This window comes from Homo sapiens, chromosome 8 (genome assembly GCF_000001405.40).
Source record: "Homo sapiens chromosome 8, GRCh38.p14 Primary Assembly".
NCBI lineage: Eukaryota > Metazoa > Chordata > Mammalia > Primates > Hominidae > Homo > Homo sapiens.
The window spans coordinates 54,769,629-54,789,649 of NC_000008.11; the positions used below are offsets into that span (position 1 = coordinate 54,769,629).

At 36.8% G+C, this 20,021-nt stretch overlaps 1 protein-coding gene and 1 long non-coding RNA gene across 8 annotated transcripts in view; one reads left to right on the forward strand and one right to left on the reverse strand.

Annotated features, from left to right (window-relative positions):
- RP1 (RP1 axonemal microtubule associated) overlaps positions 1–20,021 on the forward strand; it is a 312,050-nt gene that overhangs the window by 210,444 nt on the left and 81,585 nt on the right. For all 7 annotated transcript variants that reach the window (XM_047422069.1, XM_047422070.1, XM_047422071.1 and 4 more), the window contains 3 exons: positions 113–171; positions 495–539; positions 13,919–14,082. In XM_047422069.1, the coding sequence (XP_047278025.1) occupies positions 113–171; positions 495–539; positions 13,919–14,082 (268 nt within the window). The remainder of the gene's footprint in view (positions 1–112; positions 172–494; positions 540–13,918; positions 14,083–20,021) is intronic.
- Positions 427–5,606, reverse strand: LOC105375842 (uncharacterized). Its single transcript, XR_928900.3, has 3 exons — positions 5,408–5,606; positions 4,563–4,779; positions 427–515 (listed from the first exon to the last, which is right to left on the reverse strand). It is a non-coding gene; the product is annotated as an uncharacterized LOC105375842 (long non-coding RNA).

The following is a 20,021-nucleotide window of genomic DNA, read 5'->3' on the forward strand; positions in this document are numbered from 1 at the left end:
GTGTGCAAAATTAATGCAGAATCAACCTTATTTTAAAATTGAGAAAATCAGAAATTAATTTTCTCTCTATTTTCTCCTCTCTCTTTCTTTCTCTCTCTCTCTTTTTCCTCAGATGGCTTCCTTTCATGTCTCAGGGCATAATTCATTCAGAAATTGAACTTTATCTTCAAGGTGAGGATTACTGAAACCATCAGTAGAAGAAAGTACAAGATGATTTTGTTACATCTGGACATCATGGAACACTATTCCCCAGTTTTCCTCAGAACATCCCCTTTGATATTTATCTTTTATTATTGGATTTATAGTATTCCTCACAGTGAAATAAAAACATATGTAAAGCTGTGTCTTAGAAATGTTGTGTGCCCTAATTGAAGTTAAAAATCAACTTAAGGATTTGCCTCTGTTAAAGAGTTAAACTCACGTTTCTTCTTTTCCCACTTACAATGTCATCAGACAGATCTGTTATTAACTGCACTTCACTTTTATTTTTGCAGAAATGCAAATAAATCATCAACCTAAAATACAAGAGGAAGCAAATGGTAAATGTTGTTGCCACTTTTCATCTTTTAATCATCTGAAATAATCCATTTCTGTTTCAAGATTACCAGCCTTACACATTTTTTATAGTACATTCTTATTGAGTTTAACTATTGATTGAAAAATACTTAAAATGAACACGGAATAAGCATTATAGTTGATTTATAAAGAAACTAACAGCAACTTTAGCTCCAAATGCTTTTTTCCTTAATGCTTCTCTTCAATAATTTAAATATATATGGAAAATAATTATTTTCCAAATGGTTAAATTATATTAACTTCTTTTTTTTCTTCCAAATAAGATTTTTATTAACAAAAAATTGAGATAACTTTATAAAAACACAGTATATTTAAAAGTGTGGTTACTTTTTGTGACATGAAATCATGGTTTTAGGCAATTTGAGATAACGTAAAAGAAATACTCAACTTGTAATTTATTTACGTTCTCTCAAATTGCCTAAAACCATGATTTCATGTCACAAAAAGTAACCACATTTTTAAATATACTATGCTTTTGTAAAGTATCTCAATTTTTTGTTAGTAAAAATCTTATTTGTATTATAAATTACAAAAATCAACTTGTAATTTATATTAACTTCTTTTAATTGTACTTTTTAAAAAACTTATTTGCATATTGGTTTCTTAGTTTTCTTTTAAAGTCTTTTGTAGTTATCTTTTTCTATTAGGTCCTCTTCAAATCAATCTGCAATTATAGTATTAATATGTTACATTTTTAAAGTTGATCTGAATGAAATGGATAAATACTGTTTACTAATATGCATACCAGGTTACCACATCTCTATGTTTTCAAAAATGGATGTACTTTCTACAGTGGTTTGAAACTAGGCAAAGGTTAGTGCTAACATTATTTTATTCATGAAGTCCTATAATGATGAGGATGGCTACTGAGACATAAACAGTTCAAGCTTAAACTAGCATTCTTATCTATTTATATTAGGAACTGTGTTTCAGCTTAGTTTTTGTTATTTATTTTGTAAGGAAAAGTCTGTTCATGTGTCACACTCTTAGGATGGTCATAATTTTACTAATGTTCCAGAATTTCTTAATAATTTTAAGGGACCTCCAGAGGTCTGTGTCTTACAATAAACCGTCAAGTAATAAGGCTTGAAATGACATTCTAAGTAGAAAAATTATCCATTAATACCAGAACTTGGTGGGGCATATGTGGGTAATAAAGGCTAATAGTTTTAAAATGAAGGTTATAATTAAGGCTGAAAGTATCAGAAGTCCTTTGTCAATAATGTAAGACATGTAATCAACATCAGTGATGTCAAACATGAAGTTGCAATGTACAGGGAAGGTGTTGACCTAGGACTTTGTTAGATATACTTCATCAAATTTGATTAAATTAAGCTATTTTAAAATGCTTCCTTCTAATTAATTATTTCTGTTGTCTTATTTTATGGCCTCATTAAAATGTATATTTTTTATAGTTCAAAAGTAGATTAGTCAAAGACTAATGAGTTTGGTTAGTTCATGATACAATGTCATTGTGAATGGTTCTGTCTTATTTCATTTTTAAATTCTAAATAATGCAACCTTTAATATTTCTTGGGATATGATTCTGGAAATACATTAGTGATCTCATAGTTATGTGAATGAGCTAATTTATGGTGTGGAAAGAACCTTGAAAGGTTAAGCAGTCTAATCTATTGAGGCAGTGTTACATTGTGGTTAAGAATGTTGAAAAGCAAACATGAGTCTTAGATTTTGAAAGTATATGAAGCACATGTATGTCATTTATGCCCTTCTATGTAGCTTTAGGGGGAAGAAAGTAGACCAAAATGCTATTTAAATTTAAAGGAGAAAAGGAAAAAGGACTCAACTAAGTTATTTTTACTTTCATTTTGAGGTGATTAACACTAAGTACAATTATGCACCATTACTAACTCTTAGCCATGTTTAATTAATTCCCACAATCATCTGGGACATGTTTTCTAAACCTTGACACCTTATAATCTTAAATATTTATAATTCATATAGGTAAAATCATTCTTCATAGCAAAACTAACTACATTACTCAGTTAGACTGAACTTGGTTGTGAGAGAATGTTTTCAGTATCCATTGCTGGATTGAGTTTCTTCATTGTTATCAGTGCCTTTGGCATATTGCTCTTATATCCAGCCACATAATAAACCCCCTCACTAACTCCAATAAATTTATATTAATTATATAATAAAAAATAAGTTTAAATTCTAGTTCTAGAAGTTCTTTCAAGATACAATTTGAATGATCTATGAAGACCATATCATATGTGAATAACGACACCTTTTATTATCCTCATATGTTGTCTAGGTCCCTGGTACAATGTGGAATAGAAGCAGTGATGGTAACATTAATAGTGAATGTGTATATTATTTGTTGTGTAGTCTAAGTGTTCCAGAAAAATTTATATATTTCATCCTCCAGTAACCCTATGGGATAGGTTGTATCATTATTCCACTTCACAGGTGATGAAACTAAAGGACAGAGAGGTTTTTATAACTTGCCTAAAGTCACACAAACAGATTTAGAATTTGAATGCAAGTGGTTCAACTTCAGGGATTGTACTGTTCTTGCTTTAGAGGGACTGATTTTCACTGCCCACTGCCCCCAGTCACTAAAAATGTGTGTGTGAGAGAGTATTTATCTTCTGTATCTTTGGATTTATCTTGTTGTGTTATTTTTTTAACCTATTAAGCTAGATTTAGCTTTTAGCCTTGTTTCAGGTCCAAGTGAAAGGATGTTTTTAATTGTCAGGGGAGATTATTATTGTTATTATATTTCATATTACTCTTTTCTCAACCTTTGTGGGGACAGGTTGGGTTTTTGATAAGCTCCTTTTACTACCACTTATTTGGAGCCCAACTTTTCACTAAGGGTGTATCCCCCTTTGGCTTACTTCAAAAGTCTCAGGTCCAGTTCCCACACTTGTGTGGCCATCACCATTCATTCTCCTGGCTTGGAGTGTTGGCATCCATCACACCTGCAGTCCTCACCTTCTCGTTTGCTGAGTGCTCACCACTCACTTTCACCTAGTGGCCCCTTTTATTATTATTATTAATATGCAGTGGATAATTTTTCTTACTTCCTTGAGATTAGAATAATGTACTGAAAACAATTTTTGTTGTAATTTATCCGGTATCTCATTGCATTTTAGTGAGATGGCTTTAAAAATACCATCTCAGGTCCAGGTGCGGTGGCTCATGCCTGTAATCCCAGCACTTTGGGAGGCTGAGGTGGCCTGATCACTTGAGGTCAGGAGTTTGAGACCAGCCTGGCCAACATGGTGAAACTCGATCTCTACTAAAAATGCAATAATTAGCTGAGTGTGGTAGTGCATGCCTGTAATCCCAACTACTAGGGAAGCTGAGGCAGGATAATTGCTTGAACCCAGGTGGCGGAGGTTGCAGTGAACCTACATGGCACCACTGCACTCTGGCCTGGGCAACAGATCAAGACCCTGTCTCAAAAAACTAACTAACTAAATAAAATACCATCTCAGGAAACTGTGGCTCAGAAGTGTAAGAACCTTGTCCTCAGTCAAGCAGTTAGTAAATGAAAGAACTGATATTGGAACTTAGCTCTTAACCATTATACAAAACTGTTTCATTTTAATGACTCAGCTTCCTACATGCACTCAGGGATTTCTGACTTGAGGGATTTAAAAATTCTTGGAGCACTTACTCATTTATTTATAGGCAATGCTAAATCTTTGCAGTATGATCATTAACAATTTGGTAGATTATGTGTGGCAAAGATTATTAAAATATTTTTTCTCTCCTCTCAGTTCTGTTACCTATACATGCTTGGCTGGCCTCACTGCGCAAATAGTGTCTGCTCAAAGAAAGAAAATTAAATTTAATGATTAGTCTCAGCTAAACATGATTAAGAACATAAAATATTCTATCACATCATCATGCATTCTGAGTCAACTATAGATAGTTTTGTATTGCCTTTTACTCCGATCATTCAGGGTACAATTTCCTGTGGTGGTGTGGATAATGACAAGGTAACAGCCTACCCTTTGTGTTGGAGCCTTCTGCCTGTTGTGTCAGCCTCATTTCCTCCACAGGAAGACACACCGTGGCACCGGGGAGCCTGGGCAGGCCTCAGGAATCAGTATCTCAAATGAGTGTGCATAATTTGTGAAGCTGAGATGCCAGAGGAACCATCTTCAGGATTGCTTCATCAGTCCCAACATACAGAGCCTGAAACTAGGTTAATGAATTCCAGCAGGGCTAAGTGGGAAAAGAGAAGTCAACTTGTGAACAAGTTTAGAATCAAAAGGAGAGAAGGTGAGCCAAGAGGAATTCTCCCAGCAGAGGCCAGATGTTGCTGTGACTTACTGTTTGGTGCCTAAAACCTTTGGCACAGGCATGTCAGGAAGTGTTAAGTGAGCAACCAGGAAGACAGTGCAGTGCTTCTCATGCCCTGGCTGGGTTTAGCTTCATTTGCTCCCAAATTAAATAGCTAGTGTTTAGTTTTTGTTTGATTCTAGAACATTGGCTCACACCTTTTTTTTGGTTTGAGACAAAATACCCATAACTCAACATAGCAGTGGAACGGAATGGATTTGACACTGAAACAGTAATAAAATACACTCAGCATCTTCAAATATCCAACAGCCTTGCAGAAACATCACCATCAAAAGCCTACTCCTCAATCGCTTTGTGTTTATAAATAATTTACAGAAAGCATAGAAGGGTTTGGGGTGAAATAGACTTACTCAATCAGAGTATGTCTTGTTAATCTGAAGCAAGTTTTCTAAACCTTGGGACTACTGACATTTCAGCTTGGATAACTTTTTGTTGTGGGGGACTGTCATAAATATCAGGGTGTTTGGCAGCTTTCCTGGGTTCTACTCACCCACTGGATGTCAACAGCATGCACCTAGTTGTGATGACAAAAAAAAAAAATGTCTCCAGACATCAACAAATGTCTCCAAGGGGCAAACTCACCCACAGTTGAGAACTGCTAACCTAGAAAATAGTGGTTCTGCTGCAAAAGTGGTCAGAGAGGCGTGGAGATGGGGAAGTCTGGGAAGGAGGATGTGGGAGACTGTTTGCTAAAAATGTCTGTGACTGCAGCATTTCCTGTGCTCTTCTGAACTCAACAAAAGGTGGAATCAACTTGGGCAGACATTTGAAACTGCCTTGACTAACTGTGTAAAGCAGAAATGATACTATGTGACATTTTTGCTGTACACTATTAGGTCATAAAAGATGATACCACTTCTGCCTGGCTCGCTTTCTGGGAATGTTAGTCTTTAGAATCCAGCCACTGTCCTGTGAGAAAGCCTGGACCTTATAGAGAAGTCTGCATGGAAAGGAATGAAGGCCATTGCTCTGACCCCTGGCTGTGCTTGCAGCCAGCACCACCTTGCCAGTCACATTGAGAGAGCCATCTTGGAAGCAAATCCTCCCAGCCACAGCTGAACTGCCCCAGTTGACACTATGTGGAGCAGAGATAATCCTTCCCTGCTAAGCCTGGTCCAAATTGCACTTTCAAGGGCATAAGAAATGATTGTCATTGTTTTGCGCCATCAAGTTTTAGGATAGTTCGTTATGCAGGAATAGATCATGGTAGCAGTAGAATTGGTAGTGGATAGGCTCATACAGACCTGCATACTTAGGTCAAGACTTGGATTCTAAATATATTGAAGATCATGAATTTCTCTCCTAATGACCAGCACACAGTAATGTGGGTCTGAAAGTAGATTTGAACCTAGTAGATTGCTTAGGATGTTGGGACACAAAGAACTCAGGAATTGTTAGCAAATGCAGTTGGCCTTCTGTACTTGCAGGTCCTACATCCCCAGATTCCAACAACCACAGATTGAAAAGTTCCAGAAAAAAACCCAAACAATAAAAAATAACAATATAACAACAGAAAGTAATACACATTTAAAAAATACTATTTATACAGCATTTATACTGTGTTAGTTATAAGTAATCTAGAGAAGATTTAATGTATATGGGAGGATGTGCATAGGTTATATGCAAATATTGTGCCATTTTGTTGTTGTTTTTGTTTGGTTAGTTTATTTTTTAGAGACAGGGTCTTGCTCTGTCACCCAGGGTAGAGTGCAGTGGCATGATCATAGCTCACTGCAGCCTTGACCTCTTGGCCTCAAGGGATCCTCCTACCTCGGCTTCCTGAGCAGCTGGGACTATGTGCATATGCCACCACGCCCAGCTAATTAAAAAGAAATTGTAGAGACAAGATCTCACTGTATTGCCCAGAATGGGCTTGATCTTCCCACCTTGGCCTGCCAAAGCACTGGGATTACAGATGTGAGCTACTATTCTTGGCCAACTAGGCCATTTTCTATAAGGGACTTGAGCATCTTTGGATTTTGATATGAGGGGGCATCCTGGAACTAATCTCCCTGGAACACCAAAAGATGACTATAGTCAAAGGAAGGCAAGTCAAGTTTTCCATATAAGCCAAGATAAGGTGGGTGATTAAAGAGGCAATAGGACGTGGAAGAGGTTTGGCAGCAAGTATCAAGGATACACTGGAAGGGAATTTGGGATGAGGACAAGGTGGAAATGCCAAGGCTGAGCTGCTAGAATCCAGGTTGAAAATGATCACAGGGAACCTAGGGCACCTGGAAAGAATTTGATATTTGACTGTCACACTCTCCTCCCTGTTAAGGGTCAAGATTTGAGGTGGAGTTGAATGTACTAAATAGGCAGGGGATGCATGGTAAACTGCACTAAAGTATAGTTGTCCTACCTGAATAGTGATACGACAAGCTCTCACATGCGGGTGTTGAGTGCTCTGGTTAGCAGTGCTGCTGCTCAGCGGCTGCTGAGTGTTCTGGTTAGCAGTGCAGTTTCTGAATCTTGACTGCACCACTTACTCACTGCATGGCTTGGGAAATCACTGTATTTCTTTGTGCCTCGGTTTCTTTCCGATAAAATGTAGGTAATAGTAGAAACTCTTAGGATTATTGTGAGAATTAAATAATATCCATAAAGCACCTTGAACAGAGCCTAATATATCTTATGTATCCAATAAACACTAGCTTTTAAACTGTATGTTTCACTTGTAATGGAACCTATCCCTGTCTTGAGTGCTGTGGCTGTAGTCCCACTGTGCACGTGTTTGGACTACAGCAAGCACTTCCCACCCGGTTGGCTGACTCTGTCACTCTTTACTACATCATACAATAATCGGTGGTAAATAATCACAGGAATAACAAGAGATTCGTCTTAGACCAATATCAAGATAAAATAGGTAACAGATTCATTTCTGATAATGTTTGATGGTTGTTTTCTGGACTTAAAGTGGAGAAAATTGAGCACTGGTCGAAACCATTTTAATCTAGGAAGCATAACTGTTTCTAATTCGGTGTCAAATTTATCCCAACTCCTGTGGTAGTCAGCACAGAATTTCTCTATTGCTTTACATGTATAATAGGATTAATGATATTTGTCTCCTGAAAGAATAAAAATATTTGTAAAGCACTTAAAAATTAAAAAAAATCTCATGATCCTCTTATGAGGTTGTATTTTGAAGGACTTGTGAATTTATATACATAGAATTATTTGGAGATAAAATTAATAAAAATTAGAATAATCTGTCTTGTTTACAGTATCTTTGCTAAATCTCATTTAAATATATTTACATGACCTTGAAAATGTGGATCATACAAGGTCAATATTGTTTCCATTATCTTTGTGCTAATAATAAGATCAATTATGAGGCAAATAACAATATCCTTGTCCTTTGTGTGAAAAATGACACTAATGACACATCATCAGAAGGACTTGTTTTTGTTAATTGATAAATAGTTATATATTGTGCTGAAATAATCTTAATAGTATCTTGAATATCCTTCCTCATACAGGTAGCCATGCTTTTCAAAATACATTTTAACGGATCCCAAAACGTTTCATAAATCACCCATTCGTTTTTTGAAAGGCTATTATGTGCCAAGTGTTGTATTAGGCACTGAGAATACAGAGACATTTAAGGCTAAAATGTGCCCTTCAGGGACTTACAATCTGGGTGGAGAGTGTCCTATCTATCAAGGCACTTATTTGCATGTCCAAATGTTGAAGTGTGCCAGGGTCCAGTATAGGCATGAGAGGGAGGGTGGTTCATTCTGGTTACAGGGAGGAATGTTTGTTAATGCTTCTTCTTCTTTTTTTTTTTTTTTTTTTGTGAGATGGAGTCTCACTCTGTTGCCCAGGCTGGAGTGCAGTGACATGATCTTGGCTCACTGCAACCTCCACCTCCCGGGTTCAAGCAATTCTTCTCCTTCAGCCTCCTGAGTAGCTGGGACTACAGGCATGCACCACCATGCCCGGCTAATTTTTGTATTTTTAGTAGAGACGGAGTTTCACCATATTGGCCAGGCTGGTCTCGAACTCCTGACCTTGTGATCCGCCCACCTCGGCCTCCCAAAGTGCTGGGATTACAGGCATGAGCCACAATGCCCAGCCATGTTAATGCTTCTTAAGAGAAGGTGACCTTTGAGCTAGGATGTTCACTAGTGAGAGGAGAGAGGTGAAAGAGAGGACATTTTGGCTAAAAGATTTTAGTCCAAGTCCTGGAGGAAGAAAGGAGCCTTTTAGGATAGCTGAAGGCTGGCACAAGGGAAGGTCGCTGTGTGAGAGGGAGGCTGTAGAGGGGGTCAGTGGCTACTTGGAGGTGGGTGTTATGGGCAGTGGGCATCAATATTATAAAAAGAGCTAGATTAGACATTTGACAGGCATACCAATCTATATGTAATATTACGTCAGCATGGATGTAATGATAGAGAAAGTTTTATTTATTCCGACCTCTCCTCACCACCTAAAATCTGGGGGACTCTCACAGGGCTTTTTTGGAGGTGGATCTGTTCAACTTTTGAACTTTATCCCCCCAAGTCACCTGCAGTTCTCCTCCATCTTTCCCTGTCACAACCCTCGACTTCTCCGCCAAGTAAGAAACAAACAAACATTTCACAAACAGGGCTCTTGGTCTTTTTAGGCTGTCTTAATCCACCCCTAATTATTATAGTCAGGGAAGTGAGAGGCTGCAGTCTGCAGAGACGTGCTGGGTTTTTTCGCTTTCACTGAATCTTCCTGTGTCCTCCTCTGTCAAGGTAAGAGTCATGGGAACACGTTTGCTGTCCAATGAGGCAAAGCAGACTGTCCCATCATTTTTATTATTGAATTGCAGTCACTTAGGGCAAGCAGATGTGAAGAGTGTTTTCCCTCAGTATGCCCAACTAACAATTGCATGTAAGAGCTTAATTCACATGCATCTTCTCTGCATTTCTTTTGAGTATTCAGTGGGTAGTTGCCAAGTATCTGAAAACATGTCTAGACACAGGTGTTTCTATATTCAAAAACAGGGTTAATTTTCTGAACTACAAAGTCAAATGCATGTAACCCTGTAACAGAATACACAGAATAAGGTAAAGAAAAAAATGTTATGATCTAAGGAAGGGCTATTGAACTTCACTAGCTGTAGCAACTTTGCTCACCAAAATAACTCAACCGTGCTTTCCTGAGAATACACTTCCAATTGATAAGAAAACATTGGGAAGGAAACAGTTAATGACAGGTCTGCAATCTAATTTTTTCCTCTACCAGGGATACATGAAAGAGGTGACTCAGTCAAATCCCCTTGCATACATACTAATAACTAGACATCCTGATAGAAATGCTAACGGTATTTATAAGTAAAAAGATAATGGAGAGCCCTTATCTGTGAAATGCTTTCAGCAGCTATTCTAGTTATCTATTGCTGTGTGAAAAACCACTCCCAAACTCAGTGGCTGAAAACAATAATTTGTTATTATCTTTACCTTTCAGTGGGTTAACATGGCTCAGCTAGGTGATTTTTTTGCGTGGAGCTTCTCACACAACTTTAGTTAGTGCTGCAATTGCAGACATCTGAAGAGATATCTCCCCCATGCTGCCAGCTGATAAGCCTGGGTTAGGCTTTTCAGGCCATATGGTCTCTGTTGCAACTACTCAACTCTGTTGTTGTAGTGTGAAAACACCCATGTACAATACATAAACAAATGAGCATGGCGTCATTCCAATGAAATTTAATTACAAAAACAGGTGGCAGGCTGGATTTGGCCCATGGGCCATAGTTTGCCACCCTCTGGACTATGATGTCTGCAAGGGAAGAATGCTTGTCCTCTGTCCTGCTAGTGAATCATTAGTAAACTCGGTGTTAGGTAAGACATATAAACTGTGTGGTTTGATTGATCATCGAACTCACTTCTTCCCTTAGAGTCTCTCGAATGTTAAACACAATGTGCATAATGTGGACGCAATACCTGTAAGTCAACTTGTCAACAGATATTAATTTAATTCCAATTGTTGGCCTACATTACACTTGATGTTCCACATTCATGGATTCAACCAACAGCAGATAAAAATATTTTTAAAAAGGAAGGTAGTGTCTGTACTGAACACGTACAGACTTTTTTCTTGTCATTGTTACCTAAACAATACATTCTAACAACTATTTACATTGCATTTATATAGTATTAGGTATTAGAGGTAATCTAGACATGATTTAAAGTATACAAAAGGATGTGTGTATGTTATACAGAAATACTACACCATTGTATATCAGGGACTTGGGCATCTATTGGCGTTGGTATCTATGGGGGTTTCTGGAACCAATCCTCCACAGATACTGAGGAACAACTGTAGGCTGAAGTTCGGAATTCTCTAGGTCAGTTTTACATATACTGATTGCACGTGGTTGCATGAGAATGGAAATGGCAGAGCACATACTTCTCATTGTAAATATGGAAGATCCTGTTAGACTTTACTTCATTGTTGAGAAGAAATCCGAATTTATTAAGGAATATTTGGAGATCATAGAGTATATCCAAACTACTTTAAAAGTATTTTTAACACAAAAGGAAAGTAAGCCTCCTAAGGCTGTGGTTTCCAAGAAAATTTCCTTTTATCTACAGTAGGGTTTATTTAAATGAAAGACATTGCTATAGTATCTCCCCCAATTTAAGCTTGGAAAAGAGAATGAAAGGGCACAGCCTGAGTTAGATTGTCAGTAATGGCTTATTGCATAGTCAACGAACTTTTTTTAAACCTTTCAAAACATTGTAAATATAAGATAAATATTTAGACTTCAATTACGTGGAATTTTCCTTCTTCCTTTGAAAACTCTAATAGAAGTCATTTTCCAAAGGGATTAACAGATGACAACATTTTTTGATATGAGTCCTTGGGGTTGAATAGACAGCAGCTATAAGGCAAAGGAAAAAATAAGGAAACGTATAGATAAAATATCTGAAGTCATATTCTTTTGATTTTTTTGGCGAAAAAAGTTTTGCAATAGAAAATTACAGACAAATACTTGTAATTTTGGCACACATACAAGCAATACAAAAACTGTAAACATATTTTTAGCCCTGTTATAAATAAATTATTTCATAGGGCAGTGGAACTTTTAATTTAAATATAAACTCAGAATGTTCCTCTATGTTATTTTCTACAAGTGTTCTCAACTATTTTGTATTTTAGGTAGTGAAACATTCTTAGAGAAGTTAAGTGATTAGATTTTTAAAGGATGAAATATAAAATTTATTTTTTTTCCAGTTGCAAAAAAGAAAAATATGCTTAGGAAAACTTGAAAGTGAATAAAAATAACTGCAGATGATGTTCATTAGTTATTCCACCCTTAAGGCCTATGTCATCGTGACATGCTAATTCCAAAAAGGAGGAACACAGACATATTATATGAATCAATGGTTCCTTGCTATTTGCCTCTATTTCAGTAAACAAGACATCCAAGCTTCTATGCAAACTTATTCCCGTCCCTCCCCCCATGATAGCATGACAGCAGGCCCAGATGGCCGGGGAAGGAGATAAGGATGAGATAGGAAAGAAGACCTACAAAAAAGGAAAGAGATCCTTCAACTTCTTGAATTATGCATCAAAGCACAGGTGTGAGGTTTTCTGTAAGAATTAAGTTATGATAGGATTCTCAATGGGACTTAGTTTTAGATTTGCATGTTTCTTATTTTCCCACATGAACTGTAGTTCCTGAAAGCTGGCTGGCTGCGGGGTAGAAGTAGCAGTGCACCCTTTTGAGTTCTGCTGCCCCTTTGGCTTTCGGTACTGAGGTACTGGGTCCATCTTTCTTAACAAAGATGACATTATGCAAAATTTATTTGATGCAAGTTTTATCAAACTGTTGAGAGATCTTCAAATGATGTTTATGTATATACAGACAGTGGTGGGTGGGGAGTAGCATTGTGTTTTTAAAAGAAAATCACATCTTAATGAAAGAATTACTGAGAACTTGGTGGGCAGAATAGTGGTGGTTTTAATTGTATTTTGGAAATATAAAAAATACAAGGTTGTAGGTTTATGGGGCCTTAGAAAACAACAGTAACAACATCTTCAGATTACCCCTGCACTCTAGGGACAGGCTGTGATGAGTAGAGGTGCATGCACTGCACAGAGTTCTAACTGGCAGGACTTTGTCCTTTGCTGTGCTTGGCTGTGTGGTGTGGACTCAGGGTGAGAGGGGTTCATTGCTGTGGGTTGATGATGTAGTTTCCCAAAGAAGTGCACAAAATAATAAAATGAAGACTTATTTTGTCTTTCTAACTAAACCAATCATAAAACAACTCATAGATCTTTTTAAGTTGTTTCCTGTCATGCTCTGCTTGTCTCAGCCTTTCTGTGCTCTCAGTATCACTGCAGCAGGAAGCTCAATGATCCCTTCTGCTTGCATGATGCATTGTCTTTCTCTATTTCAAACGTGTCTTTTCTTCATCCTCCCTCCCCAAGCCCAATTCCTTTTGCCAAGACCTATTTATGCAGTACAGCATTTTCTTCCTTACTTGTTGGTTTGTTCCAACTTTCAGGGAACTCCAGCAATTTTTCATGAGAAAGAAAGTTCTTTTTTGCCTTGTTTTTATATCTTCTACATCCTTAGCACTATCTGCTAGGATCACCAAACTGTGTTACTAGTGTAGCTTGATAGGACTCTTCTCTAGTACAGATGATGCCTTAACATCAGGTTATCAGGATGCCTGTCATCCATTCCCATCCCCAAATTTGACAGTTATTTGCCTAAATAAACTCCTAAGTATTTCAGCTAAACACTTAGTGCTAAATGCCTCCAACTCCATTGTTTTGCCCAAAATATGTATTGTTCTAAAAAGCCCACTACTATTTGTTTTGTAGTTAAGCTACAATATTTCCAAAACTTTTTTATATGCTAGCATTCAAGGAGGAAATCCATGATAAGCAATTATTTTAGTACTTGATTTCACGAACTATTCATTTCATAACCAAGTAGATTAAGTAGAAATCCTTATTTTCCTAATATTAATGTGTTTTTCCCCTATACTTTTATATTGATCTCCTTTTTCCTTTGCAGATGGAGACTGGAAGGTGACCATTGTCACTGGGGATCTTGAAAATGCCGGCACCACGGCAACAGTGTTCCTTTATGTCTATGGAGAAACAAAATGTTCAGGTCCTATTATTTTGGGATCTGGGAAACACCAGCTGTTTAACCCTAACACTGCAGATATATTCAAGGTAAAAATGATACAGCTATAACTTGTTTGCTAAGATATATTGTGATATACATCCCCGAAGATGAAATGGAGTGTAATTTTTTGTTGTTCTTTTGGTATTGCATTTGCATTAAATTTGCTTGGTGTATGTGGCATGTTTTATCCCATGGGAGCTGGGAAACAGTAATAACAACAGGGACGTAGGATTTTTGTTTCTTCTTCATTTTTTTATTTGTATAAAGGCAAAAAACTACATGCATTTTAGAACATTTAAAAATTAGAGTGGAATAATTTACTACTAATCCTATTGTCAAGTTGAGCATTTCCATTTTTGAACATCTGTCTCAGTCTTTGTTCATACCCATACATGTTTTCCACAAGCACACTAACACATATGATGGAGCATGATGGTATGATGGAAAGGTGGTGCAGGCCTAATGACTAAGACATGGGCGAAACGGTCAAATGGTCAAGATTCAATTGCTGACTTTGCCATTTACAAGCATGGTGACCTGGACACATTATTTAACCTTTCTGTGCCTCACTTTCCTCAATAATCTTTACTTCGTAGGGTTAGAATGAGGATTAAATTAATTAATCCTCAATGTAGTATCTGAAATGCTCAATAAATGTTTGCTATTAATATTGCACTACATAGGCAATTTTGTAGCACCCTGTATTACATACAATATGGCCATTACATAGTCTTCTAACTTAAAATTTGTATTGATTAGATACTAAGTAATGTACTATGAATAAATAGAACACTTTGGTAGTGTTGGACATTTAAATGGCTTTCAAGTTTTTACTATTATAAATAATGCTGCAATGAACATAGTTTTAACCTTAGCTTTCCTCTTATTTTTTTAACCAAAGCTACCTATTTTCCTATGACAAACTCTGGGAAATGGTATTACTCTTGATCCATTTTGAAAAACTATGGTGTAAAAGTATCTGATTTACATAGCACATTGCCTCCAAAAACATAGTAAACACTGGTAAATTTTAATGGTTATTAAATCCTTATGACATCCCAAATCATGTTATCTATTTCTGCCATACAACATATTTAATAATTTTAATTAAAATTTATCAGTTTATTTGTGCAAGTGAGAGTATATAACTGTGGATCTATGGAAGTTGTCTTCATTTCTTTTTGTTAAAAGTGGTTTTCTGCAATATAATTCACTCTAACATTCATATCATAACATTCATTCATTTTTTATTATTTTTTAATTTTTTTGTTTTAAAGTTTTCTTTTTAATTGACACATAATTGTATATATTTATGGGGTACAGTGTGATGCTCCAATACATACATATATTGTATAATGATCAAATCAGGGTAAAAAAACATTTACCCATTTAAAGTGTATAAAGTGTACAATCCTGTGAATGTACTAAACAATCACCACAATCTAATTTTAGAACAATTTCATCACTCCAAAAAGAAGGCCAGTACCCATTAGAAGAAACTCTCCATTTTCCTATCTCCCAGCTTTAGGAAACTAGTAATCTACTTTCTGTCTCTACACATTTGCCTGTTCTGGACATTTCATGTAAATGGAATCATGCAACATGGAGTATTTTTGTCTGACTTGTTTTACGTAGCATAAAGAATGCTTTAAAACTTAATCGGTGTTGTAGCATGTATCAGTACTTTATTCTTTTTTATGGTTAAATAATATCCTCTTATATGAATGAACCACATTTTATTTATCCATTTACCAGTTGATACAGATTTGAGTTGTTTTCATTTTCAGCTGTTGTGAACAATGCAGCTATGAACATCTATGTACAAGTTTTTGTGTGAACATGTTATTGTTTCACTATGTATGTATCATTTCACACATAAACTTGGGTATATACCTAGGAGTAAAATTTCTGAATCATATGTTTAACACTTTGAGGAACTGCCAAACTGTTTTCCAAAGTAGCTGCACCATTTTTACACTTCTACCAGCAATGTACAAGGTTTCATCTTTCTCCACATCTTTATTGACATTCGATATTATCTGTTTTTTGATTCTAACCATCCTAGTGGATGCGAAATAGTATCTTATTGTGATTTTGATATGTATTTCCTTAATGACTAATGATGTTGAGCACCTTTTCATATGCTTATTGGCCATTGGTGTGTTTTCACTGGAGAAATATCTATTCAAATGACTTGCCCATATTTATACTTGATCTTAGCCAAAAGGCTGAGAAGCAACGATTTGCCCATTTTTAATTGGATCATTTGTCTTTTTATTAATGAGTTTAAGAGTTCGTTATATATTCCCAATATGAATCTGTTATCATATCGATAACAAATATGTTTATTCAACAATGAACAGCCCCAAGATAACAAATAAAAAAATATGTTTTACAATTTTTTCTCCCGTTTTTTGAGTTACCTTTTAACTTCCTTGCTGGTATGGATTTAAGTTACCTTCTAGTGTTCTTTCAAATCGGACTGAAGAGTTCCCTTTGGCATTTCTTGTAGGGCAGGTCTGCTAGTGATGAATTCTCTATTTTTGTTTATCTAGGAAAGTCTTAATTTGCATATGCAAGTCTTGGTTGACAGTTTTTTTCTTTCAGTACTTTGAATATGTCATCCCACTTCTTTATGGCCTTTATGATTTCTGATGAGAAGTCAGAAGTTAACCTTATTAAAGATCCTGTACATATGATAAGTTGTTTATCTTCTGCTGCTTTCAAGATTCTCTGCTTGTTTTTGGCTTTCAAAAATTTTACTGTGTTGTGTTTAGGTGTAGATCACCTTACTGTTGGTTTTAATAGTTACTGTGGTTGCAAGGTTGCCAGTTTTCAAGACTATTGTGGAGTTGGGGAGGGTGGTAGAGAGCAGATCAAAGTACTTATAAGGTACCCTTATGTTTCTACCAATGTTCGTCGTTTTCATTGAATACATGCTCCTCAATTTGTTATAATCCTTTGATTAATTTTCAGAGTTCTAGATAATTCCATTTCAATAATTTTTTTATTGCTTTTGTGGAGCACTGGATTTATGGAGAGTCTCCGTCTGCCATTTCAGAAGTCCTGCTCTGCTCTTATTATCTTGATCATATTTTGTTATTTTTAATTCAAGTTTCTATTTCTCCATGAAATCTTCCATGATTTCTATAACTTGCTGAAGATAAATAAGAACTGGCCCAATATAAATTTGGATTTGAGGCTATGTCATGTGACCAAATCCTTGGAATAGAAGAGCCACCATCCAAGTGGCTCTTGAGACATTGGCTATCTTATTGTCAGAACAGTGAAAATTTCCTTTTATATAACTGTTCATATGGTAGGTGACAATGAAGGGTAACTGTAATATTCTCCTGACCCAGTCATAGGCCTTGAAGAGGAACTTGGTTGTAGGACTTCATAAAAGAAGAGGATTCTAGTTTTAAAAAGGGCTTGCAAAATGGTGTCAGTGGCTTTGCAGCAATTTTGATATATACCCTCTATAGACTATAGAGTTCAGCTCTATGGTTGCACCTAGAATGTCACTAAGAGCCAAAATGAAGGAAATTAAACATCCTCAGGAAAACAATCAAGGCAAAATTAAGAGCAAAATGTCCATTACGGCAGAAAGTTGGAGAGAGTAGGCAGAGAGGAGTTTCTAGAGAACAGGGACTAGACCTAGTTCACTTGCTAACCCTTGAATCTGTTTATTGCCTGACATAGACTAGACACTCATAAATATCCATTGAAATCATGAAAATTTAATAAAAATGACTTTGCTGAAATTTGTTTAATATTGACTGCTTTATCTAGGGGGCGTTCATTGTTGAATTTTTCTTGTGATCCTTCTCACTCTGAGGGAATCATAAAGGCATCCATGTATCTTATATTAATATTATTTACTTATAAACCTGCCCAGAAATTTAGTTCGGCTTTTTATTGCATTTTTGCAAATTGAAACGCTAAATAGTATTCTCCGTTGCTGGGAAAAAGTTAGTGCTTATGCCGTTCACTCCTAGAAAGTTGCTTTCTGCTTCTGCTTTACTATTGTATGAAGTCAATTAATTTTGTAGATGAAAAGGTTTAATATTTATTGTGAACTCCCAGGGCACTTGCCTAATCATTGAATATCCCTTATGCTCCTTAGGATTGAAATGGTTAATACAGTTTTGCCTTTGTAAAAACAATTTATATCACCAGCAATGAGAAGACCTATATTTGACCTCCAACTCTGCTCTTTACTATATAAGGAAATATGGATAAAGCACTTAACATTTGTAAGCTTTAATTTCCTCCTTTGTAAAATGAGTGCAACAATACTTTATAATATAACTATGCAGACTGAAAGAGTTAAACATCAATGCACTTTATATAAAGTATAAAACACTCTTATCATTATGCTCTTTAGGCTGACTCTTATGATCCTGCCCACAAATTGTGGTAGACTTCCTGATAGGATGGGGTTTAAGATAATTTTTCAGATGAATGAAGGCAGGAAGGCAGCTTGGCAGATGGCTGGTGGGTGGCTATTTCTGGCATGGGGGTATGTGTAGAAATGTCTGCAGGCTGGAGTAGGAGGAAGGAATATAGGAAAACAAGACTAGGTTGGCTGAGCTAGAGCAAGTCAGTTGAGTATGTAATATCAAGAATGTTTATCTGGGTCTTTTCAATGTTTAAAAGTTAGATGTCCATGTGGGCCTACAAACTATTAGCCATTAGCTAGATGGGTGTTAGCATGTCATTTTGATTTTGGCATAACTCTGTATGACTTTCTTTTCTCTCCTCCTTCTTGTCCTCTTCCTTCTTCATCTTCTTTTCCATTCTTTCCTTTTTTTTTGTTTTTTAGGAATCCTAAAACTTGGAGATTGGTAACATTTTACATTGACTTCATTCAGAAGTTTAGGAGTGGCAGCACTAAGCAGTTCCCTGTTGACATGTTTGACTTTCCTGTGGATGGCAGATCCTAGGGACAATTTAACTTAAACTTTTTCGTTAGTTACAAAAGTTGAAATATTTTTAAAATGGCATCTTCTACAAATTTTCAATTATAGATACTTATTAAGAAAAGTTAATAACATTGTTCCCCTTAAATAGAAAATAAATTGCAGAAATAAAACCCCAGTTCAGATGATATCAGCAAGATAATAGAATAGAATTTGCTTAGCTTCAGTACTCCTCACAGGAAGACTAACAATCATCTACAGAGAAGAGTGCCTTTGTGAAAATCCCAGAAACTGGGGGTGAGGCTGATGCACCCCACAGAAATGAGAAAAAGTCTCATTAAAAGGGTAAGAGAAGCAGTTACACTTTGACTGCTTCACCTCTCCCTCAGGCTGGCATGGCATCATACCCAGCTAGTCCTAGATGGACATCCAGCTTTTCCAAAATTTTGGGGTGCTTCATGGGAAACTCACTTCTGCTTTCCCCTACAGGGTATACTGAGGGACTTGGCAGGGCTAGATTCTATGGGGTCAGCCAGGAACAAAGAAGCATGGCAGGGGTTCACAGCAACCAGTGCACAGAACTTGGCGATAGCACTGCATCCCTGCTGTTAGCATTATCACTGACTAACCAGAGAGCTTAGTCAGTGTCTCTGCCTAACCATGGAGCAAAACTAGTGGTACTGTCTGGCTAGAGAATACAGTCTGCAGTTATGCCTGTCTTGGGTTCCAAGCCAGTGGTCATGCCAAGCCATGGAGCCTAACTTACAGCCCTGCCTGAGCAATGAGCCAAGCCAATGACCCTGCCTGACTCTGGAGCATATCTTGCAGCCCTGCCTGATCAGGAAGCCTAGACAAAGACTCTGCCATGACATAGAACCCAGCCTGTGATTCCACCAGGGAAGGCAGCCCAGCCAGTGACCTTGACCAACTATGGGGCAAACCTGTGTCCCTGCCTGACCAGGGAGCTAGGCTAGCAATCCAGCCTACCGTGAAGCCCAGTCTATGGCCCCTTTCAGCTGTGAAGTTTAGCTTACAGCCCCACCTGACAATAAAACCCAGCCTAT